Source organism: Homo sapiens, chromosome 1 (genome assembly GCF_000001405.40).
Source record: "Homo sapiens chromosome 1, GRCh38.p14 Primary Assembly".
Lineage (NCBI taxonomy): Eukaryota > Metazoa > Chordata > Mammalia > Primates > Hominidae > Homo > Homo sapiens.
This window is the reverse complement of record NC_000001.11, coordinates 120,642,087-120,668,291: the sequence shown is the minus strand read 5'-3', so window position 1 is coordinate 120,668,291 and position 26,205 is coordinate 120,642,087. Positions and strand designations below refer to the sequence as shown.

The following is a 26,205-nucleotide window of genomic DNA, read 5'->3' as shown; positions in this document are numbered from 1 at the left end:
AAGAAATGTAAAGCAAAATGAGATGGTGTTACATTATTTGTATACTAGCTGGATATAGAACTAAAATATAACTATCCAATTATTTACAAATTAAATAAGAAAAAAAATAAAAGGAGAATTTCTAGTGCTTTTGAGGCTAAGATAATAAAATTAGAAAGTCCTTTTATCCCAGGAAAATCGTCTTTAGTCCATTCCTGCTGCTATAGCAAAATAGCTTAGACTGGGTAATTTGTGAATAATAGAAATTTATTTCTCACAGTTCTGAAGGCTGGACCAAGATCAAGGTGCTGGCAGATTCAGTGTCTGGAAGAGCTTGCTCTCTGCTCCCAAGATGGCTCCTTGTTGCCACAGATGCTGTGTCCTCACATGGCTGGAGGGACAGAGGACAAAAGGGACCAGAGCAATCCTTTCAACCTCTTTTTTAAGAGCACTAATCCCATTCATGAGAGTGGAGTGTTCATGCCTTATCACTTCCTAAGACATATTCCTAAAAGGCCCCACCCTGTAGTACTATAACACTCGGTATTAAGTACCAATGTATGAATTTTGAAGGCATACATACATTCAACCATAGCATAATTCAAAAAAGGAGAATGATAAAGGCAGAAAGCTCTTCATTAAGGCATTATTTATAACAGTCTAATATCAGAAACAGCATAACTATGCAATAGTAGAATATTTTAAGTAATCTATGGTCCTACTAATATTATAAAATATTGTACACTCATTAGAATAATAACTATGAACTTTCCCTAAAAACATGGACAAATATTTACTAAGTGAAAGAAGGAGAATATAAACATATACCTAAGCTGTAATCGTAATTATGTAAATAGATATTTAATATATATAGATAACGACTAAAGGGAATTTGGAGAAATTTAAACATTTGTGCTGTAGCAGTGGTTATATGGGTGAATATTTTTCTTCTGAAATCTAACGCAAAAAGATTGTTCTTTTGACAATAAGTATAATTTTTAAAACAACAAGGAAATTTCTCTTCTCAAGAATATACCCATGTGTGTAAGAAAGAGTTGGTGTTTGGATTAAAAGATGCATTTTTTAAAGAGTGGGAAAAAAATGCAACACATTTTTAATATTGAAGATCCCTGGGTATTCTGAGTAATCTATATAACTTTCTGTATTTTTCAAATGTTTTTACAATGAATGTGCTATAAACTTTTGAAAAAAGTTATTTTAAAAATACATGAACGTATTTTCTAGCGTCACTTCTGAGACCCCACAGCTCACCTAGTTAGTGCTATCATTTCTTGAATCCAGTGAGCTGCCTGTAGACAGAGTTCCTCTCCACAACTCGGTAGCCCATCATTTGATTTGAGACAAAGCTAAATATAGCCCCAACTTTGGTATGAAGGATGGGAATCTGACTCTCCCTGCCTTTTCTTCCCCCCCATCAGAGGCAACAGGATATTCTTTTCAAGACAGGTGGCCTGTGAGCCTTGTCTAAGATCAAACTGGACCTTGAAATTTTTCCTGGTAACATTTTGAGCTCTGGAGCAGTGTGGTCCTACCAATAAATCAAGTGTTGGAGGAGTCTAGACTAGGGGCTTTTTAGACAGTTCTGCTAAACCTTCAAATGTTTTGTTATCCTCCCCTCCCCACCCCTACTTTGTACTAGTATGTAGGGGAACCAATCCAAGAGATAACAGACAGATGACAGGTTCCCCCAAGAACACAGACTCCCCACAGTCTCACCAATACCCAGGCATGCCAGGTTCTTCCTGAGTTAAATGCCTAGGAGGCCTGAAAGAATAAATTCATCCTGGAGAAGTCTTGTGGGTCGTAGCTTTAGAAATTCAGGGAACATATCTCTGGGGCCACCCAATGGAGAACACAGCCTGTATCAGAACCTTAGCAGAGACTTTGGGCCTTTTGGGGTCTCAAATTTATCATCTCTGAAACAAGTACAACGAAATTAACATTGCCACATGTGGGCACTATAAAGCCTTTTTCAAATAAAAAAAAGGTCAGTGATAGTGCTAATAATAACAGTGATTATGTCATTTAATAAAACGGTCTTATTTGAAAGCTAAAAAGGAGCTTCAGGGTGGCAAGCACTCTAATTATAGTATGTCTGCCTTGTTTAAATCTTGATACATAAGTACATGGTACAGGGCCTGAGGCAATGCCATCTCCAAAGAGGCCTTTTCCATGATCTTAAAACAGTCACAAGGGAGTGTCTAGGTCCTGATGGCTACTGTCTTGAGGCTTTTCTAGTGTTCTGGGAGTCAGGAAGCTTCTCCCTCCTTGAAGCTATTGGTAGAGCCCAGTTGCTGGCGAAACTGAAAAACGAGGAGGTAGAATACCCTAAAACAGGAGATGTCTGGGATACAGGCAGCTAATAGGGCTGTAAGGTTTTGTTGGGATGCTTCCCTTCCTGATGAAGGGTCCTGTCCCTGGATTAATGGTGAAACTGTCATGTCACATCTCTAGGAAGACAACATCGTGTTCCATGACCACGTAGGGTATACGTCTGCATTCAGCCGGGATTGCTCCTAAACCTTCCTAGACTCCATCTCTGGCTCTGGGGTTACCTGTGGGTGGGGCGATGCAGACACACAAGAAAACCTCCTCTACAAATTCTTCCTGTAGTTGGTTGATTGTATTCTAAGACCTTCGTTGGGATGGGCGAGGGACGGGGCTTGGTACGGCGTCCTCTAAGCTCTCTGCCCTCTGCCGTCATCATTCATCTGAGCCAGCGAGAGAGGGGTCGGGGAGACGCGAGGGTGGTTCAGGGGGCGTGCAACCTGGGCCGATTGTGCCCCAGCACACTGGTTGTCGGGAGCCCCGCCTCCGCTCGCGGTTGACAGCTCAGCTGGTGCCGAGCAACTCGTGCCAGCCAGTCGTGTCTCAGCCTGGAGAGTGCGCGCACCGCCGCCCGGGCAGCCGCTGGCTCCAGCTCACGAAACAGCCCCGGGCGCCGCGCCGCTCCGAGTCCAGCCTCCTACTGAGAACAGTCCCTCCCTCGTGCGGGTCTCACGGCTAGCCGCAGGTTCGGCCACGTCAAATCCATTTTCTAAAAAAGCAGGGAGCAGAGCTCTCTCTTCGCCGCCGACGCAGAAAGGAGCTGGGGAGGAAAAAGCTGCTGCCTTTTGCGCTGGAGATTCGTGGGCAAGGCTTCTCATTTTCCCAGGCTGCTTCCCCTCCCGGGTGAGGAGCGTCCTGAGACTAAGGAAAGAGCCTGGAAAATGGAGCAGACCTGGACGAGGTAGGTGGGCTGTTTCCTTCTCGCCGCACTCCAGACTTGGTGGTCCTCCTCCCTCCCCTCCCCCAGAGCCCTTAGGGAGAGAGAGGTCGCCCCTCACCACCAGGGTCCCGTGACAGCTTCCCTTTTCTGTAGCCTCGCCCTGCCTGGTTCCCAGCCCACCTCTCTTGGTCATTTTCACATGTTCTGTTTTACGGGGTTTCCCTTGCTTAATGACTCTCCCCTCCACCGAGTCCTGATGTTAAAAATACCCAGGGAGGCCGCCTGGAACTTTCTGTAGAAATGGTTCTCTGTCGTTTCCTTGTTCGTGTGGCTAGAGGGATTCCAGTAGGTCTTCCTGAGAGATATGTTTGATGTCAGATGCTTTGAACAATATCAGGTTTATTCTCACCCTGCCACGTTTTCCTTCTCAGCCTCATCTGTCACTACTCACACAAAGGCAAAGGGACTGAGTGAGCAGAGCCCAGCAGCACTCATCTCCACAACCTCCAGTTGGAGCCCACTTGGGGGAGGAATGGAGAAGGAAAGAGATCAGGGCACCACACTGCTCAGGCTTTATTGAGGCCGGGCAACAGTTGGCTTTTAGGTCAGATTTTGGAGATGGCCTGTGAAACTGCGTTTTCTTCCAGTCCTTCCCCCAAACACACTTTAAAATGAAGCCCCATTCAAGGAAAGGGTAAGGATAAGAGACCATGTATTGAGACAAAGACTTCGTTTCTGTTTTTTAGTGGGTGGGAGGGTAGGGAGACTATTCCAGCGGTGTCTCTATAACAGATACGCTTCCATCTGTGGGATTTAGCTTTGGAGAATTGGGGTGGGGCCAAATGAGCGCTCTGACTCCTGAGAGAGTGAAGACCGTACAAACACAGAAGGTAAATTTGGGGCTTATGCAAAAGACTTGGGTGTTTTAGTTGATTGCTAAGCTCAACAGGAGTGAATGGTATAATGTGAATATTAAAGAAGGAGCAAATTGAAGCTTAGGGTTTGTTGACAGAAGAAGTAGGCTGTCTAGATTCTGTCTAGATCAAAAGTGATGATTTTACTTTTGGCTCCTTTCTGCTCCTCTTGGGCCTCTCCGAGAGGGCTGTGCTTAGTTCTGGGCATCATTAGATAAAATAAGTACAATCAAGAGACAGGAGGGAACTCAAAGCCATGCCTTGAGGGATGGCCAAAGGAAGGACCTGGGACTCCTGAGTCCGGAGAAATGACGACTGGGAGTGGGGAGGATGTGGTAGCTTCCTTCAAATTTCCGAAGAGCTATTGGTGGTAGAGGGATTGAATCACATTAGAATCTCTTAGGAGGACAGAACAACCGATGCAAGCGAGTTGTTGGGAGGCGAGTTATGGCTCAGTGTAAAGAAAAAGCTTTCTGGCCAGGTGCAGTGGCTCATGCCTGTAATCCCAGCACTTTGGGAGGCTGAGGCAGGCGGATCACCTGAGGTCGGGAGTTCGAGACCAGCCTGACCAACATGGAGAAACCCCATCTCTACTAAAATACAAAATTAGCCGGGCGTGGTCGCACATGCCTGTAATCCCAGCTACTCCGGAGGCTGAGGCAGGAGAATCGCTTGAACCCGGGAGGAGAAGTTTGTGGTGAGCCGAGATCACGCCATTGCACTCCAGCCTGGGCAACAAAAGCGAAACTCCGCCTCAAAAAAAAAAAAAAGACCGGGCGAGGTGGCTCATGCCTGTAATCGCAGTACTTTGGGAGGCTGAGGGGGGCGGATTACGAGGTCAGGAGATTGAGACCATCCTGGCTAACACAGTGAAGCCCCGTCTCTACTAAAAACACAAAAAAAATTAGCCGGGCGTGGTGGCGGGCACCTGTAGTCCCAGCTACTTGGGAGGCTGAGATAGGAGAATGGCGTGAACCCGGGAAGCGGAGCTTGCAGTGAGCCGAGATCGCGCCACTGCACTCCAGCCTGGGCTACAGAGCGAGACTCCGTCTCAAAAAAAAATTAAAAAAAAGCTTTCTAACAAGTTAGCTGCCTGGGCAGTATGGGCAGTAAAGAGATTGTTGACCCTGGAGTTACTCAGGCAAAGGCTAGATGACCACTTGATGGTGATGGGAGTGAGTGTATCAGGGCCTTTTGCTCTCTGCCAGTGTTTTTCACACTTGAAGAAAAAAGTATTATTTATTAAGTTTTAAAAATTTTATATTTACATGTAACAATTTCAGACAAATTCAGAAATGATTTGGAAAAATCGCAAATTATATATTTACAGTCCAATTAATTTGACAAACTGAGTATACTCATGGGATGGGCATTCAGATAGAGAAAGGGAACATTACCAGCATCCCTGAAGCCCTCCTGATGACTTCAAGGATAATCATTATCCTAATTTTTAACACCATAGAATAATTTTGCCTAGTTTTGAACTTTATGTAAATGAAATTATACACCATGTACTCTTTCGTACGTGGCTCCTTTCACTCAATCTTTTGCTTTTGGAGTTCTATACTGTTATATGGTACTGTAGTCCATTTATTCTTGCTTTTAAATAGGCTTCTATAGTGTATAAATATATCAAATTTATTTGTCCATTGTATTCTTAATAGGCACTTGGGCAATTTCCAGTTTGGAGCTATTATAAACAGTGTTGCTATGAACATTTCTGTACAGGTCTTTTGGTGAACATATGTACACATTTCTGTTGAGTAAATAAGTAGAAGTATGATTTCTGCGTAATAGGAAATGCATGTTCAGATTTAGTAAATACTGCCAGATTGTTTTTTTTTTAAACAGATTACAAAAGAGATTTCTAAAGCGGGTATCCAGGCCAGGCGCGGTGGCTCACGCCTGTAATCCCAGCACTTTGGGAGGCCGAGGCGGGCGGATCACGGGGTCAGGAGATCGAGATAGTCCTGGCTAACACGGTGAAACCCCGTCTCTACTAAAAATACAAAAAATTAGCCGGGCGTGGTTGCAGGCACCTGTAGTCCCAGCTACTCGGGAGGCTGAGGCAGGAGAATGGCCTGAACCTGAGAGGCGGAGCTTGCAGTGAGCCGAGATCGCGCCACTGCACTCCAGCCTGGGTGACAGAGCGAGCCTACATCTCAAAAAAAAAAAAAAAAAAAAAAAAAAAAAAAAAAAAAGAGGGTATCCAAAGGGAAGAACATAGTGAAAAGGTGCTCCACATCACTAGTTATCAGGGAAATGCAAATTAGAACCACAACACCATGCTGCTATATACATATCAGAATGGCTGAAATTAAAAAGATAGAAAGTAGCAAATGCTGGCAAGGTGGAACATTCAGAATGTTCACATATTTTTTAACCACTACTCACAATAAGTAATATATTTACATTGCCACCAAGTACACTTACATATGTAACAAAGTTTCTTGTAACAATACTTAACTTTACTATGTGTTTTGCACTCTGATATTTGCTATTCTATTCTTTTTCTTTAAAAATAAAATGTTGGCTCTGATTCACTGAATTTATTTCTCCACCTAATGGGTCACAGTTGGAAAAATCCTATAATCACAGATTATGGCTGACATCTCAGATCCTTCCTAACTCACAGATCAGATTTGTTCATAAACACTTATTAAAAATTTGAGGGCCGGATGAAATGGCTCACGCCTGTAGTCTCAACAGTTTGAGAGGCCAAGGCAGGTGGATGACTTGAGGTCAGAAGTTCGAGACCAGTCTGGCCAACGTGCTGAAACCCCATCTCCACTAAAAATACAAAAATTAGCCAGGTGTGGTGTCTGCACCTGTAGTCCCAGCTACTTAGGAGCCTGAGGCAGGAGAATCCCTTGAACCCGGGAGGCGGATGTTGCAGTGAGCTGAGATTATACCACTGCACTCCAGCCTGGGTGACACAGTGAGACTCTGTCTCAAAAATAAATAAATAAATAAATAAATTTTGAGAGCCCCAAACAGGTCAGACGCTGTGCTAGATGGTAAGAATAAAACAATGAATGCAATGAATGAGACTGGGTCTCTGCCTTTAATGGCTTTACATTCTCATCATCTCTAATTTTAATAGAGAGACACTAAGGCAGAGATACGCATTGGCTGCTCTGGGTACACAGTGGATAGGGGATTGAAAGAATAAAAATTAACCATAATTGATAACATTTATTAAGCTTTAATTGTGTGCTAATCTCTTTGAATACTTAATTCACCTAATCCTTACAACCCTATGAAGTAAATGTTATACTCATTTCTAAGAAAAGGAAATTGAGCTTCAGAAAGATTAAATAATTTTCCCAGAGTGACACACACAGCTGAGAAAGAAATATAGCCTTGAACCGTTTAATTCCAAAATCTATGCTTTTACTTTATTTTAGTAGAGTTTTGTAGGTGACTCAGTTTATGACTTGTTTCTGAAGCTAGCTACTTGCTCAATTTACCCACAAAGGACAAGGTGCTTGATATTTTAGTTCTCAAAGTTAGATATGCTCTACTCCCAGCTACACATCATCTGCCCCTCTACAGCTCAATGGAAAGGTTCCCCCTACCCGCTGGGGCTGTTACCTGACTGTTGCCAAACTCACTGGTTAAATCATTTGGACAGAGCATGGTTGGCTCTGGAATAGCAAATTTTCTATGAATATACTGGCATTACAAAAAGCTGATTTGGTCACCAGCTTTCAGATTTATTTCCGTGAACAGGGCGAGAGTTGTCAAAAGAATAAGCTCATGGAGCTGATGAAGAACTTGATGATGAGGGGAGGTTTTCTCACCCGGCAGGTCCAGTGTCAACCAGGCAAACAGCTTCTACTGCTCTAAATTTTTAACATCCACCTGTCTGGACTAGCAACTCCCTACACCTTCTGCTTTAAAGATTATCAGTACTTCAGGATTACTGTTTGTATTAATTTCCTATTGCTGGTGTAACAAATCACCACAAACTTTTTTTTTTTTTTTTTTTTGAGATGGAGTCTCACTCTGTTGCCCAGGCTAGCGTGCAGTGGTGCAATCTTGGCTCACTGCAACCTCCGCCTCCCAGGTTCAAGGGATTCTCCTGCCTCAGCCTCCCAAGTAGCTGGGATTACAGGCACATGGCACCACACTCAGCTAATTTTTGTATTTTTAGTAGAGACGGGGTTTCACCATGTTGGCCTGGCTGGTCTCAAACTCCTGACCTCAAGTGATCCACCCACCTTGGCCTCCCAAAGTGCTGGGATTACAGATGTGAGCCACTGCGCCCAGCCAAATCACCACAAACTTAGTGGCTTAAAACAGTACAAATGTATTGCCTTAAAGTTCTGGAGGTCAGAAGTCTGAAATTTGGTCTTCTAGGTTAAAACCAAGGTATCAGCAGGACTGTGCTCCTTCTAGAGGCTCTAAAGGAGAATTTGTTCCTTGCCCTTCATGGCTTCTAGAGACTGCCCACATTCTGGGTTCATAGCCCCTTCCAGCAATGCCATCACTGGCCTCTGCTTCTATCATCACATCTCCTTTGATCATTCTGACCCTCCAGTGTCCCTCTTACTAGGACCCTTATGATTACATTGGACCCAACCAGATAATCCAGGATAATCTCCTCATCTCAAAATCTTTAGTCACATCTGCAAAGCCCTCTCTTGCTATGGAAAGTGGCATATACACAGGATCTGGGGATTAGGAATGTGGACATTCTTATAAGGCCATTATTTTAGCCTACCACATCGTTCAATGCTGAAAAAGTCATTACTAATTATCTTCCCCATTTCAGTGGAAATGTTCTGGTTTCTAGCATATGAGAAAGCTGAGTAAACATCAGGTGAATCATATATGAACCTTATACAACTTCCCCGAACACATAACTCAAGAAAAGAGTGAACTAGAAATGTTTAAGGGCAAACTATAAGACTGAAGGTTAAAAAAGGAAAGCAAATTAGTCTGTTTTGTTTTGTTTTCTATTCCCCTGCAATTTGATTTAATAAAATGCAAGCATTAATTGCATTTGCTTGCTGTATCTGTGAAAATTTGGAAAATGGAAGTAACATTCAAGAAAATTAATGATCTGGTTTCAAAATTTAAGAATTTTTTTGACTTTGTTTCTTTTCTGGAGTACAGCCTTCAAGCAAGACAAGGTGTCCATTTACCACAGCTATATTGTACTTAACAGATCTCCATTGATAGCTTATTTGAATTTGTTTTTCTCTATATAAATGTTTAGCCTAGAGGAATCAGGGACATTTATTTTTCTCTGAATTTATGGTGAGTTAGTAGAGAGTCCTGTTTACAAAGACATAGTTACAACCAGAGATATATGGCCACTGAGGTTAAAGTGGTTAAATGATTTGCTGGCATTCACACAACTAGTATGTGTTGTATGAAGGCCTAGTTAATTCCAATACCTTTACTTATTATGGTGCTGGTGCTTTGCATGTAACACTTCATATTAGGAAAATGCTTGTTTTCAGAATTCTATTATTGAAACATCTTTGGAAGTTGAATTTCCTGTTTAATATTCAGCACTGCTAGCAACTAATTATCTGAATTTTAAGAAGGAAATTCTGCCTTGGCAACTCCAGTCTACTTTTAAATGGGCCTATACTTGGATTTCGGCTTGGGGAATTTGCCAGAATCAATGCTTTCACTCCTACTTGCTTATTTTCCACATACTAGATCAGTCTGGACCTGACTCCCCCAACCCCCATTTTTTCAGCTACATGCTAAGACTATGTTTAAAATACCTAAAGACTGGGAAGGGGTTGTTTTTGTCTCAGAAAGGATAAGTAACACCTCATGGTGCCCTCCCCATCCTGGGGGGCTCGCCTGACTGTGGCTGAGGGATCATATTTTCAAGGCTAAGTGGAGCATCCATCCATTCAGTGGATGCCCCAGGACACTACTTCTATTGAAATCTACCCCATTTTGTAAATAAAATTCCAAACTGGGCTCAGAACATTCCACAAGTTGTCTCTGGCAAAAATTCAAATAGCATTTAAAGTTAGAAGAAAGTCCAGAATACAAGAGATGTCATATTGACCCAAGGTGGCTCTATGTGATTCTATTTTAAAACACTCAAATGCACTGAGGACTTGTTTTCCTCTGCCTCAGAGCATTTTCTGAGTTCTGTGGCCAGCAAGACAAGCATGATCTGAATTTCTTTTTTCTGAACGCTTATGGCTAAAGTGCTAAATTAGTCATAGACTATTTATAATGAATTGTATAATAATACTGTTTTATTTTCATAGCAGTTTCACAGCCTGTGATTCATCTTTCCTTAATCTGTCTCATTATCTTCAGTCCTTTTCTGCTTGTTACATTCCACAGAAACGTCTTTCTTTCTTGTCTTTTCCAAGGCCAGTGAGGGAAGAGGTAACTTGCAACTAGTGTCTTCTTATCATGGTCATGGTGGAAAGGGTGGAAAGAAGCAATAACTTCTGACATACAGAAAGCATTCACTGGCCAGGCACAGTGGCTCTCGCCTGTAATCCCAGCACTTTGGGAGGCCAAGGCAGGAGGATCACTTGAGGTCAGGAGTTCGAGACCAGCCTGGCCAACATGTTGAAACCCCATCTCTACTAAAGATACAAAAATTAGTGGGCATGGTGGGGGGTGCCTGTAATCCCAGCTAATCGGGAGGCCGAGGAATGAGAATTGCTTGAACCCAGGAAGTGGAGGTTGCAGTGAGCCGAGATCACACCACTGCACTCCAGCCTGGGTGACAGAGCAAGACTCTGTCGGAAAAAAAAAAAAAAAAACAAAAAAAACAAAAAAACTAGAAAGCATTGACTCACAAAGAAAATTGAATAATTTCTAGCATTTCACACAATTTAAGAATGAATTTATTTTCCACTTCATAATGTGGTATATTATCATTCATAATGTAGAATAACATGCTGTGGATTTACAGTGTCTTTTAAATCATTACGCCTAACCCAAAGGATGTAGACTTCCAATTTTTAACTATTATAAATAATACTTGATAAATGTCTAGGTGCATAAAGCATCTTCTTCCACAGCATTATTTTTTGAATGAGAGATGTTCAGAAGTAGAATAACTACGTCAACATTTCCAGTTCTTGAAAGTACACTGCAAATTACTTAAAGTTATAGTCCCATAAGAAGGATATTGCATTCAATTTAAATATCTTTTTCAAGACCTGAATCCCTGTATTGTAAAGGGGAAAACTGAGGCACACTGACATTAAAGTGGCATAACCTAGGTGAATCAATAGCAACATTTCCAACTTTTACCCTTCTCTGGGGTAAAATGCTTCACTGTTGCTGTTAATCTCTATTACTATCCTGAAACGTTTCCTGAAATGATAATAAACAGAAAATTTTAACATAAGAAAGTAAAAGATAGGTGTAAATTACATCAAAACTATGTATACCTATTAGGATGTCTATTACAAGGACAGAGAAAAGAGAAAATAGATGCCGTGTTTGGTTAGGGGATTATGGGCAACATCCTTTATATGCTGCTTTTAAACTAAGTCAACATAGGTTTTTATTGCAGGAAGAAGTTCACATTTGTGTCTACCAAATGACAACATGTAAAGTTTGGAATTGAGTTGGTTTTAGGTTTTTCTGTGTATCACTTGGAGGTTTTCTGTGTATAACTTTCTTGTATTACTTGGAGATTTTCAGGTTATTGGCACCACAGGAGCAGCATTATTGCCAGCAGACCCGGGGAGCTGGTTGGAGAGTCATTGCGACTTAATTTACCCTGAGCTAAAATTATTATGAGTGGGCCTTAATATACCAGTTGTTCCCACCTACACATCTAGCCTTGCCTTTGCTGGGATAAATTTGTATACCCTTCAGAGGTTAGATTCAGAAGTACCTCCTTTAGGAATTATTTTTAGAACCTAGATCTGGGTGTAGCCAGAACACGCTCTGCCTACTCTGTTGTAGCATGTAGCTAGTTGGTTAACTTGATATTTTCCATACTCCAAGTTTATCGGCAGAATGAAACGTTTTTGTCTATAAGTCTTCAGCATCTAACATTGCCTCTAGCACTTAGAAGGTCATCTATTAAGAGCTTTCCAGAGAACATTCCCCAAAAGGCCGATGGGAATATCTGTTTGGTGGGTGTCTCCTTATTGTAGAATGGATACAACAGGTTATCAAACTTGACACCATTATACATTCAGATTGTATTTATCATTGTTTAAGAAATATGTGTCTTGTTTCCTCAGTTACGGGAAAAGAAAAAAAAAGAAATACGCATCAAATTCCTATGATCTAGACTTCTTTAATGCTGGACAGACGATAGTGAATGATCTAAAAACCCTCCCTTCCAGAGACTGACATTCTAGAGGGGTCACTAGGCATGGACATACATCACTGTTATACCTTGACCTGACATAGCCTTAACTCGAATTCACTTCAGTATGCTATCAGCACAGCCATCTTTTGTAGCTCATCTTTCTTCCAGATTTTCCACCCTTAGGATCCTTAATGCTGAAATTATACTTCTTGACCACAGGTCAAGTCCCCCACTTCCTCGTTCTTTCTGAATGTTGTTTACTGCGTCATGTATTCCAGTTCCTCAACTCTCTGTATCTTCCAGGCCATCTGCTGTTTATTCACCTCCATACTGAACCTAGACGTCAGAGTCAGCTCTTTGAATCGTGTTCTCAACGCTGCTTTAGAATCTCTAACTGCCTTAACCATCTCCCGGCTTGGTAACCCTTAGTCAATTTTATTTTAAAATCCTAGAGGATTCTATGAGTGTTGTTTTAGTATGTTATAAAACCGCACTGAGAAGAAAGACTCTAGATTCATTCTTGCTAATCCTCAACAGGTCTATAATGCTGCTGAGAAATTCTCCTCCTCCTCCCACCTGCCTCTTTCTCCTGCTCCTCCTTCCCTGACTCTTTCTCTTCCTCTAAAAATATATTCCTCACAACCTTTGATTTCCGTAGTGTAAATAAAAGCAAGATGCAGAACTGTTATATTCAATATTATTTCCATTTGCAGAATTCACACAGGCAAATAAACTGAAGAACAACTAAATACATAAAAATCTTTATCAATGTTGCCTTCAGGTGGTAGAATTTTAAAAATTATTTTTATTTTTCTCTGTACACTTTTCTCTTTTCCAAAATTTCTACGAGGCATGTACTTCTTTTAAAATCATCAAAAATAGACATTGTAAAGAAAAGAAACTGAAAGATTATGTGAATATAAAAGTAGGTGGAAAGGGGAAAAAATCACCTGTTTCTTAACATTCAGTCTAGGGCTCTAGAAAGATTGAGCCAACTGCAATATACTCCAGTGCCTTGTGGATATTAGTTGTTAATGAAAACTGAGGATTGTAGGGTGCATTGCCAGGACCAAAAGCAAAATGCAAAAGGTAAGTTTCAGAGGTGGGTGGAGAGACCATACACCATCCCTGGGGTAATGTGACTGAATCCAAAGCAGGTTATTTTCATGTCTTCTTTTGAAAGAGTGATACCTATGTCTTGGCTGATGCAGGGGAGGTAGAGGAAAATTTATTAGATATTTGGATATGTGATGACCTCAGAAGGTAAAGTGAGGAAAAATAACTACTTACTTATTAAGGGGTTTCTCTGAACCTTGATGATAGCATCAAGAAAGTAATGTTAGTTTCCTTATTTTCTTTAGGATGAAGACTTAGTGCTGGACCAAAAACAAAACAAAACAAAGATCCCGAAACTTAAAGAAATTGTTGTGGATGCACGATGATTTTGTAGCTCACTGTAGCTATTGGGGACTTAGCACTCCAGAAAACAGCCTCTCAGAGTGATGGTCACTGTCAGTGAATAGACTTTGAGTGAAGGGTGTAATTGCAGCCTATACTGGAATAAAGTGGATGTTTCTGTATCGGTGCCAAGTCGGCCCACACTTAGTCAGCATGCAGAAGGAGGCTCACCGTGATGCTCTCTCTCCTCTGGGAGCTTTGCCAATTAAGCATCCTCACTTGCAGAGGTTATAATGACAGATCTTGAGATGAGAAAAAATGATAATTTCACTGTATTATATAATAGTCTTAACGTTCTGCATCTGGGGCTTTTACCCTATTTGCATTTGAATATGTGCTTTTACAATTCGGGTGCCACATTGTGGGAGGGTATTTGGCAACATTTGGAACATAGAAAATATATCCAGTGTCTCTCCTTGGCAAGAGGAAAAAAAAACATCTGAGAAGTCTCAGAGCTTGTTCACTAATGCCTTTTCCACTTTGATTGTTTCTGTTTCCACCACCTTTCCCGCGTTTCAGTTTATTCCCTTGGGTAGGGACAATGCCAAGTGTTATCACGGGAGGGGTTGGAGAAAGATGTAAATATTCTGAAAAAAGTGGGTTAGAGATAGAGAAGTATAAAATGATGGATGACTCACTTTTCACGATAGGACCTATATAAAAAGTCACACTAGCCACTTCCGTTTTGGGATTTTAATTATTTTGTCACATGGCATCTGTTACACCAGTACTCAAATACTCAAGTGTAAGCTGTGCCCATCAGGGATAAGTTGATAGTCTAAGAAACAAATTTGTGTCAGGGTTTGAGACAAAAATCCCATCTCATTAGCACAGCAAACCGTCCACCCTTCCTTTCACCTCAGCTTCTCAGGGGTGAGTTCCCTGGAGTCAAGGCAGGTACAAAGGAGGTTCCCTGTAAATGTGTGGTTAGAAATAGGGCATATTGGGAAGAGTAAAAGTTTGGAGTCAAATAGACAGTTTTCAAGTTCAGGCTCTGACACCAACTAGCTGTGCGATCTTGGGCAAATTACTTTATCCTTCCAGGCCCCTTGTTTCCTCATCTGTAAACAGGGATTGTATGACGTACTTCACAGGATTCTATGATGACTGAATGAACTGATGCCTAGAAAGTATCAGGCATTCAGTAAATTGCAGAGGCAGCATTGGTGGTGAGTGGTGATGGTTGTCCATGATAATAATATGTTCATTTAATACAAGATTAGTATTGAGGAAAATTCCAGTGCAAGAAAACCTGTGGAATTATAAAATTATGCACCAGCAGTCCAGAAATTGTTAACTGTAGATGTCTTTGTTTTTAAGTTGACACTATTTCTAAAATCTTACCATTTATAAACTGTCAGGGCCAGAGCTTCCCATATTAAAAAATAGGCCACAGTTCTTCTCATTCTGACCCTTTTGTGTTTGCCACAGTTGAATATAGCTGTAAATTAAAAATAGGAAAAATGCATCTTGGAACGTTTGAAAAATTTATTTCATTTGAAACAGAAACCAGCAACTCATGTTAAATGAGCTCCAAGAATATGGGAATTGGAACAGAATCTGCATTTGGTTCAATGCCTACTCCTGTGAGGACCCCAAGAAAGAGCAAACTTCAGCAGTCTTGCTGTCATGCCACATGCCCCTCACTGTTTGAGAGGCCACACCGAGCCGAATCCTTTCCATAGTTCATCTTTTATCAAGGTCATTAATTAGGAAGAGCAATGTAAATTCAATAAAAATAGATTATTCAAACTTTTTAAAAATAAGAATTAGCCTTTTGGCAAAAATAGTAAGAAAAAAAGGGGGAGGATGCTCAGTATATTTTCCGCCACTCTAAACCTCCAGACTTTTCATTTCTCTGGGTTCTTTTCTAGTTTGTTTCTATGGGTATTTTCACAATAGTGCAAATCTTAGCCCCTTTCTTGCTGACATTATTTTAAATCATTTTGGGGGTTTCTAAGCTATAGTGTTTGAGGAGGGAGGTGCAAATGAAGAAACAATTTCACCCTTGGCTTCCCTTCATATTCCCACCTGAGGGTGAGCGCTTGGGGAGGAAGGCTTGAGGAGGGGGAAAGGTAAACAGGAAGTTGGAAGATGTCCTAGGAGGCAGTTTAGGGCTCCTCAGGGTGGGGGGAAGATGGAGCGGGGTGGTTGGGAAGGGGAAAACAAAATGAAAGCCCCCTGAACACACCGTTCATTTTCCTATAATTGGGTCTTTGCTATGTTTCCTTGTGTATTTACACCCATCCTTTAAGACCTAGATTCAGTGTTATCTGTTTTCTGTAAATGTCCTAGACCCCTCCACCAACCACCCTGTCCCAGCCCACTCCCCACCAGGACAAAATTAATTGCTATCTTATTTATGTTCTGAAATCTCTGTTAAATCTAATTTTTCTAATAATTATCTCTCTGAATCATGTGCCTGCTTCCCTCAATAGATTCTGAGTACTTTAACCACAGGGTATATATACTTTTTCACCTTTGTATTTCCAGTACCTGGCATAAAAGCAACTTCTCAATAAATGTTTACAAAATGGAATTATAAAAACCCTAAAAATAGCAATGAAGGCCCAGGTTTTCGCTCTAGGTATTGCTATAGCAGATTGTTTTTTCTCCTTCTGAATTTTTGTTCATAATAATAATATATATATATATATATATATATATATATATATATATATATATATATATAAAGAAGCTTGAAAGCTAGAAAATGCCTCTGGGAGATGGCCCTGGTCTTCAGGCTTAGAAATGTTAAGCAAGGGTGGTGGTTAGTGATGAAGTAGGAGGGCCAGACTATGTGGTTCTCAGAACAAACTAAATACATGTGATTGGCCTGAAGAGAGGGCCTGAAAATTACCATTCCTTTGGGAGTTTAGACACTCATATGGGAATAAATAACCTTAGGTTAATTATTTTAGTAGGTGAGACTGGAGAGAAGAAAGTATGGAGCCTAGACAGGCATCAGTACCTTAGAAATAGTTTTAGTGGTGATTTTGGTCCTACAATACAAATATCTCATACTGTTCAAAGACTCATAGAACCTGCTTTGTAATGATGATTACCATCTTGTCATTGCTTTTGAATGAGATGATTCATTCATATGATCTGTTGTTCCTCTCAGTCCACAAATTAGACAGACTAAAATACAAGAAAATAATACCAGAAATAACAGTTTACGGAGGAAGGTCTATACCTGCCTTATAGAAAATATCTCTCTCTGCAGGCTCCTAAGCAAGAAGAAACCCAAGTGTCTACCCCTCCCCACAATGTTATGAGAAACTAGACTAGTGGGACCAATGAGATGCTTGAATCTTGAAAGGAGCTATATCAGTGGCCAGTTTCAAGTAAAGCAAAACTGAGTGTTTTGGATAACCCTGGCCATAAATGAAACTACCATTCTTAGAAAATTACTGGAAGAAATCATCACAGGACAGTTTGAGAATGTCAGAATATCAGGGGGTGGCAGATGGCCTTCAGAGAAGCAATTATTTCCTGATCATTCTCAACTTAATCACCCTGGAAAGCCATAGAAAAACCAAGTAATATGGGATATTGAATGTTGATGTATTATTTGAGTCTAATATCTTAATAGCTACTTATCAGCAACTCAAGAAAATATGAGTGATATACCATGCAGAAATCAAGCAGGTGAACAGCTTGTGAGTAGGTTGTACTTGGAAAATGCTTGGTACTTCCAAAAGCAAAATAATGTCCTGGTGAGAATATTAATATATGTGGTTTTAGTGGAATTGGTATTGTCATTAGCAGATTGATGACGTAGGGAGAAAGACAAGGTAAGACACTGAGGAAAAATATAATTCATTTATACAGAAAAAGCAAAATTTTAAGTGAAAGCATCATGGGAGAAAGATTATATATGGAAATGCAGGAGAGCTAAAAGTGGCCTGGCGAACCACATATTAGCTGAGCATGAGTCATTCATGGATTGATATTTTAAAAAGCTAGAGACACTTGAATTTGAGAAACTAGGACAAGGATATAAAATTTTTTTCTGAACTTGGGTAATACGAAAGAATGTACCAACATATATTACCACTTTGTGTGTGTGTGTGTGTGTGTGTGTGTGTGTGTGTGTGTGTGTGTGTGTCCATGCTTGGAGTCTGTCTCTACCATACCCCAATTCTCCTTGCACTTTGGTTTATCAAATGTTGTCACAAATTGCAACCCCTTAGACTTATACTCTGTGTTTCTCCACTCTGAGCCCCTTCCCTTGGGGAGCGTCAGATTCCTTTGTAACTTGTGGAGCAGCTGAGTGAGCCCCTTTCTCTGGCAATAAGAGAGGGAACTTGAGCTGTTAATAGAGCTAAAGTGATTTCTTAAAAATCTCCTGAGACACTGCGAGTATGCTTATTAACTCAGTACCCATCTAAAGTGACCTCTCTATCCTTCCAGTTATTGATTCATATCAGGCAGGCAGTGTGCTCAGAGTGGGTGTGGGTGATGCGGGAAGGGTGAGGTGTCTGGTAGGGCTGATATGTATTGCTGTGTTGTAGCTTGCTCTTGACCTATAATGTGCAATCTGCAGAGCAGAGAAGATTGAGTGAGATCATGTCTGGAAGGTATCCTGGATCCTTGGACAGTATTAAAATGGGTTTTATGTTTAAGCATCTATTAGAATAGAGTTGCATAATTACTGCAAGGAACCTTAGAAAGTCATGTCCTTCTTTTATAAATATTAGAGAAAACTAATGCCCAGAGAGGTGAAAGTGACATGCAAGCCAATATAGTAGCTTGTTGCCACAAATTAATTAATTGTGTGTGAAGCCAATGGGTTTCTCAAGACTGTGTCTTAATAAAGCAGAAATGAAATTCTGTCTGCACTTGGTCTATACTGGGGTAACAGCATCAGAAACCTGCAAGATGCCAGGCAAGTATCATAATTAAGTGAATGAGGGACGACAAGGACAGGGAGTGGCAGGGACTGTGGCAAACTGGAAAACACATCCCTGTCCTGTGTAAAGGGGGCAAGTTCTCCCGCTGTGTGGGAAGGCAGGCCCAGTGTTGGCAGACCCACTCATTTCCCAAGAGCAGTTAGAAGTGGGTCAAACTTGTGTGGGCTAAATAAAACATGTCGGATGGGCTGAATTTGGCCCGAGGGTTGACCTTGCTCCTGACAGCAGATGCAGCCACCTTTGTCTGTGGACTAGGCAGAAATGCTCAGTGAATAGCAGCAGCTAAGTATAAATTTTTTCCCCACAGATTTTTTTAAGACATTGTTCTGGTTGATGGTTTTGACATCCTTCTCCTATTTTACCTCCACAGAGGGGAGTGCATACGTAGTACATTCCTCTTTGGCATTGTTTACTCTCAGGGAAAGCTTTTAAGGAGGAGAAGGGAAAGAGGCAGGGGGCCTGGAAGAATCACAAGCTGGTGATCTACTTTTGGATACGAAATAATTGTCAGGTGGCATGTGTAGCCCGATGTGCCCTGTCTGGTATTTTCATGTCCATCTGGGACTTAACAAAGTGAAGATTTCTGCCAAGATCCAGCCCTGAGGCAGGGAAGAAAAAACCACCAATTTCCAAGCAAATGCCAGGTCCTCCTCTGCCTCCCTGTGAATATCTTCTGGCTTTTAAAAAGAGAAGTCCTGTAGGCTTGGCACAGTGGCTCATGCCTGTAACCTCTGCACTTTGGGAGGCCGAGGCGGGCGGATCACCTGAGGTCAGGAGTTCGAGACCAGCCTGACCAACACGGAGAAACCCCGCCTCTACTAAAAATACAAAATTAGCTGGGCATGGTGGCAGGCACCTGTAATCCCAGCTACTGGGGAGGCTGGGGCAGGAGAATCGCTTGAACCTGGGAGGCGGAGGTTGTGGTGAGCCGAGATCGTGCCATGCACTCCAGCCTGGGCAACAAAAGCAAAACTCTGTCTCAAAAAAAAAAAAAAAAAAAAGAGAGAAAGAGAGAAGTCCTCTACATCTCTGTTTACAGAATTCTTGGGAGCCCCCAAGAGTTTAAAGAATAAGCTACCTATTGAAAGCATCTTTCTGTAGGTTTATTGAAATCATCTGTTTCTGACATCCCCATCAGACAGTCAGTTGTCAAGACAGTAGACAGTCCCCCTTTAAAATATTAGTCACTGAGTCCGTCTTTCTTTTTGATTCACAAGACTCTAGTGGCTAAATGCCTCTCCATGTCTTGAAAGGCTTCAAACAGTCTGCGCCCCCTGCCCAGTCTTCCCATTACTTCCCTGACCTCACCTCCTACTGCTCACCACGTGCTCACTGCACCCAGCCACTAACTAGTATGCTCCCTCTTATGGACCTTTGCATTTTATGTTCTCTGCTTAGAAGACTCTTTCCCTAGAGACCCCCATGCCTGTCCTTATGGCTTCATAGAGCAGCCTTGTCTACTGAAAATTGCAATCCCCTCTACCTCCTCCTACCTCCAGCTCTCCCTATCCACATTCCCCACTTTACTTTTTTTATAGCACTTGTTCCCAACTGCTACTATACAATTTATTTATTTGTCTCCCCTTACTGTAAAAATTCCATGAGTGCAGGGATTTTTGTCTGTTTTGCTCACTGCTACATTTGTGGAGCTTACAACAGTGCCTAAAAGCACTTGTCAAGCATGGGCTTGAGAAGTATTTGTTGAATACATTTTGAGATACTGTCCCCTCTCTGCTAGGGATGGTGGTATTTACTATGCTGAACAGATACACCTCTTGCTACTGAATCATGGTGTTATTAACATTTCCACTCATAAACTTTGTCTGTTTTTCAAGGTTTCTGTGTCAATTCTACTTTCTAAACATATCTCAAATTTTTAAAATTTCCCCTTTGTTAAACCATCACAACTTCCTATTTGGAATATAGATTCTCACCATCCATTTTTGCCCCTCCACAGTCTCACTGTGTAGAGCCAGAATGCAGCTGGAATGACCTATCTAAAATATAAATCTGATCATTACCATTCTTTCCTTAATTTAAAATCCTTCATTGATTTCCCATAGCTTTTCACATTAGACTCAGTGGCCTTACCCCATACCACAAGGTCCTGCGTGGCCTGGTTGCAACATTGGCTTTCTTTGTTCCTCTAACAGGCCAGAGTCCTTTCTGACTCAGGGCCTTTGCTGTTCTCTCATGATGGAACACTCTTCCACTCCCATTCTCCCATTCTACACCTGGTTGACATCCTCCCATCTACGTTTAAATGTTCCTTTCCCTGAGTTTCTCTGAGTCCCTGTGCTAGTTAAGTTCCCTCTGCATTTTCCTTCACAACATTTACTACAATAGTAGTTAATTCTTGTGAAATTATTTAATGGCTGGCTCTCATGTACTTATTGAGAATAGGAACTCTTCTGTGGTGTTTGCCTTTGTATCCCTAGCACTTGACACGGTCCCTGATACATAATAGAAGCTTAGTAAATACTTGCAGAGAGATAAATAGAAATGACAAATAGGTAGGTGTCTTCTCCTCGATCCCTGGGATGGGAGCCTTGTGGGGTAGTATCTCATTAATTAATGATGTGTTTGCCTCCACAGAGATTATTTTGCAGAGGATGATGGGGAGATGGTACCCAGAACGAGTCACACAGCAGGTAAGGATGCTGTGGGCCTTGCTTTGTTAAATTCTTTGTTTCTTTTGTTTATTCATTTGGTTTTCTTTTGAGACAGGGTCTCACTCTCTCACTATGGATGTAGTGCAGTGGTGTGATCATAGCTCACTGCAACCTCAAACTCCTGGGGTCAAGCTATCCTTTCACCTCAGCCTCCCGAGTAGCTGGGACTATAGACATATGCCTAATTTTTAATATTTTTTTTTAGAGGTGGGAGTCTTGCTATATTGCTCAGGCTGGTTTTGAATGTCTGACCTGAAGCAATACACCCACTCCAGCTTTCCAAAGTGTGTGAGAGAAATTGGCACTTGGCCAATTCTTGGTTTTCTATTGATCTTAATTCTCTTGAATTATGGCCTCTTTAAATTCATCATGGCAATATCTTCAAACTTTTGTGAATTTCCAAATTAGCACATACTACTGTAGCAATTTCACACGAGAATTATCAGCTAGCTATAATTCTATGTACTGAGAAGCAGCATAGTACAGTAAATCATTACAGATACTTATGTGAATTCTTCATACTTTTAACGATTCTGTAATTGCAAGGCTAAACTCACTTGTACAATGATTAAAATAAATTATGTTACTAAAATGAAATCTTTATCTTAATACACCATTAAAATGGGTATAATAGGCCGGGCATGGTGTCTCACGCCTGTAATCCCAGCACTTTAGGAGGCTGAGGCGGGCGTATCACCTGAGGTCAGGAGTTCAAGACCAGGCTAGCCAACATGGTGAAACCCCATCTCTACCAAAAATACAAAAATTAGCTAGGCATGGTGGCCCACGCCTGTAATCCCAGCTACACAGGAGGCTGAGGCAGGAGAATCTCTTGAACCCGGAAGGCAGGGGTTGCAGTGAGCTGAGATCGTGGCACTGTACTCCAGCCTGGGTGATAGAGCAGACTCAGTCTCAAAAAAAATAAAATAATAATAAAATAATAAATAAATAAAATGGGTACAATAATAATGTTAATCTCATAGGTGAGATTGAGAAAAGCTTTTAGTACAGAGGCTATCAAGGAATAAGCACTCTGTATCTTATCTATTGTTACTATTAATGTATTCCTAACAACAGCACAATTATTACTGCACTAACATTAGCCAGAGATCTACCTGAATTGCAAAACCAAAGGGAAGATAATATTCTTTGGGGGTCTATTTTCCACAAAACTTGTTCTCGACCTGAGGGTTTTACTTCCTTGCTAAGTTCTTTGCCTTTTTCATAACAGCCTGGAAGCACAGATTGTTTATATGCACAATTTGGAAAAAAGTTTTTAATTTGAATAAGTTAAGAATTTCAGAGTCACTTAAAATTAGTATTTGAAATGTGTGTTAAATCCACAAATTCCAAGGGTTACTGTGCTCAACATTTTAAATGTCAATATTCTACATTTTGAGGCAAAAATTGAAGGACTAGGGCAAAAATGTGAGGGGAATGGATAAAATGCTTACTACATATAATACATGTGGCAAGGTGCTTTTATTATTTTATTTAATCCATAGAACAGTTCTATAAAGCAGATATTATTACCCCTGTTTTACAGAGGCAATATATCAGCAAAATTAAGAGATTTGCCTAAATTCCCACAATTAGCAAGTGGTCAGGATTCAAATCCAAGCCTCAAGGCATTGCTCTTTCTATCATATCCACCAATCTAACTGTAATGTATTGTTATTCTGTTTTATCAGATTATCTTCCCCTTAGTAGTATATTTAATTTCACCTAAATGTGGAAGAAATCATTTTTTCTAATTACATTTATTTATTTATTTATTTTTGAGACAGAGTCTTGCTCTGTCACCCAGGCTGGAGTGCAGTGGTGCCGTCTCGGCTCACTGCAGCCTCCGCCTCCCAGGTTCAAGCAATTCTCCTGCCTCAGCCTCCCGAGTAGCTGGGATTACATGCGCTTGCCACCACGCCTGGCTAATTTTTGTAGTTTTGGTAGAGATGGGGTTTCGCCATGTTGGCCAGGCTGGTCTTGAGCTCCTGACCTCAAGTGATCCACCTGCCTCAACCACCCAAAAAACTGGGATTACAGGTGTGAGCCACCATGCCCAGCCTCTAATTACTTTTAATTAAAAATTTTGCATTTACGTATAAACATTCAGAATATCACCAAAACAGGGGCAATATCATCATAATTATTTTATTATTATTATTTGCTATCACAGAGTAGTGTACAACTAACAGAACAATTATATTGGGTAAGCTGCATGAAAAACAATTGAAGAGGGAAAAATAATATCTCCATATATATGTAATTGATTTGTACTATGCACTAATAAAGCCTGCCTTAGATTTCTGTTCTAGTTTAAACCCCGAAACAGTACCAGGCAAGGTTAGTGGCTATTGAAAATATCATTAAGGACAGGGTTATCTAAAGACACACTGGATACTACATTAATTTTGCAAAAATAAAAAGACAGTATACAGTGTTCAGTTTAAAAACAAATCATATGATCTTACATTTCAGCTTTTTTTCTTTGAAATCAGTGGTGTAATGGGGAGTTAAATACTTTTAGGCAAAAAACAAACACATACACACACACTCACACAAAAACAAATTAATAAAACAAAAGCCTCTTTTAAAACCACCCTATTGACTATCATCATTTTTTTCTTCACCCTTTTCATCTTTCTATTCACCAATGTCTTTCCAGTCCTTTTTTTCTTTTCTTCTTTTTTCTTTTTCCAGTTTTTCCAACTTCCCCTTTCCCTGCATCAGACTTTCTTTTATCCCAGAATACAGCAATAGCCTTTATATCTATAATCTTAAAAGCCTTTCTTTCCTCAAGGCTGTATATTATCTGCAACAGTAATTCTTCATTTCTTTCATTTCTCTCAGTTTTCTTACATCATCGCCAATGAATTAGCCAAGATGTTCTCCTGTGCTCTTTTGGTGAAATTTTCAGAACAAAACAAGAAAAAGGAGATCCCTTTGGTACATTAGAATCCTGGAACTTCTTTCTTCTCTCTCTTTCTCTCTCTCGTTTCCTTGTAGACAGAATATAGATTTTTGTTTCTTTCTTATAATGGGCCTGTTCACCTTCACCCTGTCTTCAAATTTTTTCTTTCTCTTTAGCAGAAATGAATTTCCATCTTTTCTGAACATAAAAAAAAGAAGAATTCTAAGAAGTTGACTGAAGCATCTGGGTGCTTTTTCTTGGGCTCCTTCTGGCAAGTTGGCAGAACGAAGGAAAGAAGGCAGGGAAGGAGGGAGAGAGGAGGGAGGGGAGGAAGGAAGGAAGGAAGGAAGGGAGGGAGGGAGGGAGGGGGAAGGGAGGGGAGGGGAGGGAAGGAAGGAGGCAGGCAGAGAGGTGGGGGAAAAGAGAAAAAAAAAGAAAGAGAAAGGAAGAAAGGAAGGAAGGGAGAGAGTGAGAAGGAGAGAAAGAAAAAGAGATCGGAAGAAAAGCATGCAAAGGCATTTTGCCTCTTACTCCCTTGGATCTCCTTTCCCCAAGTGTTTAGTTAACTTTTCCTCAGCCAGGCAGTCACCCAGTACCTGTTTTGCTCTTACTTGCCCTGACACTGTCTGTAGCGCTTAATGCTTTGCCATGACTGTCTTCTTATTTAAAAAATAGTTCCATAATAAAAGTTCATTATTTCCTTCTGTCAGCCAAGAAAGTATGTAGCTTTCTATGTTTTCTACCTGTCTGTAACTCCAACCCTGCCCCAACATGAGGCAGGGTTGATTTCTCATTCTTTAACAATGTTACTTCTCAAAAGCAAGCATAGGGTTAATTACAGCTTAGATTCCACTAGGTTCTCCCAAAGCAATGCTTCCATTGGTTAATGGAGTGATTGAGTCTCTGCCTCTTTACCTGTTTTCCCCACTCTCAGACCTATTGCAATCCCTTTAATTGCTAAAATAACACAGTAGTAGCATACTGCTAAGAAAGACAGATGGAGAAAATATGGCATTGGTTCTGCCACTTTTTAGCAATGTGATCTTGGTCAAGCAAACTTTCTGAATCTTTACTTATTCATCAGTAAAATGGACTTAATAATCACTTATGTCTATTTCACTGATTGCAGCGACTTCATAAATGAAATAATTCATGTGAAACTATTTTGTAACATGTAATGCCCTTTAAATATGTTGGCTGTTATAATTGTTACTATTACTAAATAGTAACCTGAAAAATTATCGGTAGAGATAGTTTGCTAGCAGCTTGGTTCTTTCCTTTAGACTGTTTTGGTTACCTTTTGTTATGTGACAAACCATCCCAAAACTTAGTGACTTAAAACAGGGGTCAGCAGCAAACTACAGCCCATGAGCCAACAGTCAGTTTTTATAAGTAAAGATTTATAGCCACACAGTGACACTCATTCATTTACACATGGTCTGTGTCTCCTCTGTGTTACAGGGTAGAGTTGAGTACCTGTGCCAGAGATGATATGACCCACAAGCCTAAAACACTGTCTGGTCCTTTAAGAAAATGTCTGCCCACACCTGGCTTAAAACAACAATGATTTATTATTTCTCACAATTCTGTTTTGGCAAACTGGGCATTATCGCTGCTGGTCTCACTTGGGATCACTCAACTGGCTGCAACTTTCTGATGACTTGACTGAGACTGAAGGTCTCAGACAGCCTTGCTCACATGTCTGGCAGGTGGTGACTGTCAGCTGGGGCATCTTCACTTCCCTGAACAGCCTTTCCTTCTCCAGTGGGGTAGACCGACTTCTTCACAGCATGGTTGTCTTGGGATGCTAATAAGGCAAGAGCAGAAATGCAAGGCCTCTCAAAGCTAGTCTCTGGA

At 40.9% G+C, this 26,205-nt stretch overlaps 1 long non-coding RNA gene and 1 pseudogene across 3 annotated transcripts in view; one reads left to right on the top strand and one right to left on the bottom strand.

Moving 5' to 3' along the window:
- Positions 1–225: 225 nt before the first annotated feature.
- LOC124904392 (uncharacterized) lies at positions 226–2,971 on the bottom strand. The gene is made up of 2 exons (XR_007066510.1): positions 2,556–2,971; positions 226–370 (listed from the first exon to the last, which is right to left on the bottom strand). It is a non-coding gene; the product is annotated as an uncharacterized LOC124904392 (long non-coding RNA).
- PDE4DIPP2 (PDE4DIP pseudogene 2) overlaps positions 2,856–26,205 on the top strand; it is a 195,809-nt pseudogene continuing 172,459 nt past the window's right edge. The window contains exons 1-3 of one of the 2 annotated variants that reach the window (NR_144516.1): positions 2,856–3,229; positions 21,364–21,419; positions 24,528–24,619. The product of NR_144516.1 is annotated as a PDE4DIP pseudogene 2, transcript variant 1 (transcript). The remainder of the gene's footprint in view (positions 3,230–21,363; positions 21,420–24,527; positions 24,620–26,205) is intronic. The other variant, NR_144517.1, reaches the window with a different exon arrangement.